Below are 1,443 nucleotides of genomic sequence, written 5' to 3'. Positions count from 1 at the left end.
ACAAGGTGGTATTCATTCTGACTCCTTTTATTTCTCTTAGGGCAGATATTACAGGCCATGGTGAGGTACACTCAGAGCTCCAAGACTGCATTTGGGGCTCTTAAAGTGGACAGGTCCTGCTGTGTGTTTTAATAGCAACTTTCACAGCAAGTCAACACATTTTTGGACAATTTGTCACAGGGAAATTTTGTAAATATTACTAATTCTGGAATTTGCTTATATATCTTGATGTCTCTTAAGATAGAAAACTGCCACAAATTGCTTTTATATCGCCACTATTTTTTTCATTTAAAAAGGGAAATAAAGAAACATATTAAATACAGGATGAGGAATAAGGGGTTTACAGTACTGTAAAAAAAGGAAGTAATACAGTTCACTGTTACACTGCATAGCATGAACTAAAGGAGCATGTCAATTTGGTCAACTTCACTTAGTATTTTTTGATAGATTCAATATATTGGACCATGAGATCTAAGTATTCCTCTAAAAGATGTAAGGCACCCAAAAATCATACCAACTTTGGTGGTGATATTTCATTCTTATTGGAGCAAACCATTATGGGGAAACAAAGATAAATTACTAGGAATTTTTATATTAAATTCTTCTCTATTAGGCCATGTGGCACAGACTTTTGATTTGTAGTGTGATATGATTTCTTTCCTCAGTAATTACAAATGGGTGCCAATTAGCTTGATGGGAGGTAAAGGTAATCTAATCCAACACATTTTATCTAGCAGTGACTGGGATGGTTTAGGGCCCTTTGAGCTTAAAGTGTTGAAGTGGACACCAATACAAGTGCATAAATACAACACTTTTGTCATATTTCCAATAAGATGGAGTACAATGGAGACTGGCATTTATCATGTACTTTTTAAAATCAGTATTCTAAGAACTGCCCATACATTTTGTTACTTCATTTAGTTAATATTATGTTTAATTTAAATTAATTGAGACAGTATTTCTCAAGTGCTGAACATAATATCTGATGCAAGAAAACAGCAAATACTTACCTATTACCTTCTTTTGGTCTTAGGAAGTGTCATTAGTATATTCTGTAAAAGAACATATCGAAACTCAGAGAGTTTAAGTAGTTGCCCCTAGGTTGTATTGCTAATGCAGCTGTTTATGTGAACACATATTCCTGCAAATATTTGTAATTTTAAGTAGTCATACTGTACAAATCTCTAATTAGATAGGCACTTTATGTAATGTTTATGTAAAATAATGGCAAGAAATATTATTATCTGTGTTATAGAATCTGAAAATTTTTGCTTTGTAGTTTATTTTCCTTTTGTGGATAATGTAATGTTAGAATTATTTTTTCAGCAATCCCATGGCCCATAGATTTAAAACGAAGATATATTTACATTAATGTGGTCATATATCAAGTAGTAGTTCATGCTAACGCTTATCAGGATGTGTGTAAGCATAGCTAACATATGG

Source organism: Homo sapiens, chromosome 5 (genome assembly GCF_000001405.40).
Source record: "Homo sapiens chromosome 5, GRCh38.p14 Primary Assembly".
In the NCBI taxonomy this organism is placed as follows: domain Eukaryota; kingdom Metazoa; phylum Chordata; class Mammalia; order Primates; family Hominidae; genus Homo; species Homo sapiens.
Note: the sequence above shows the minus strand (reverse complement) of the source record.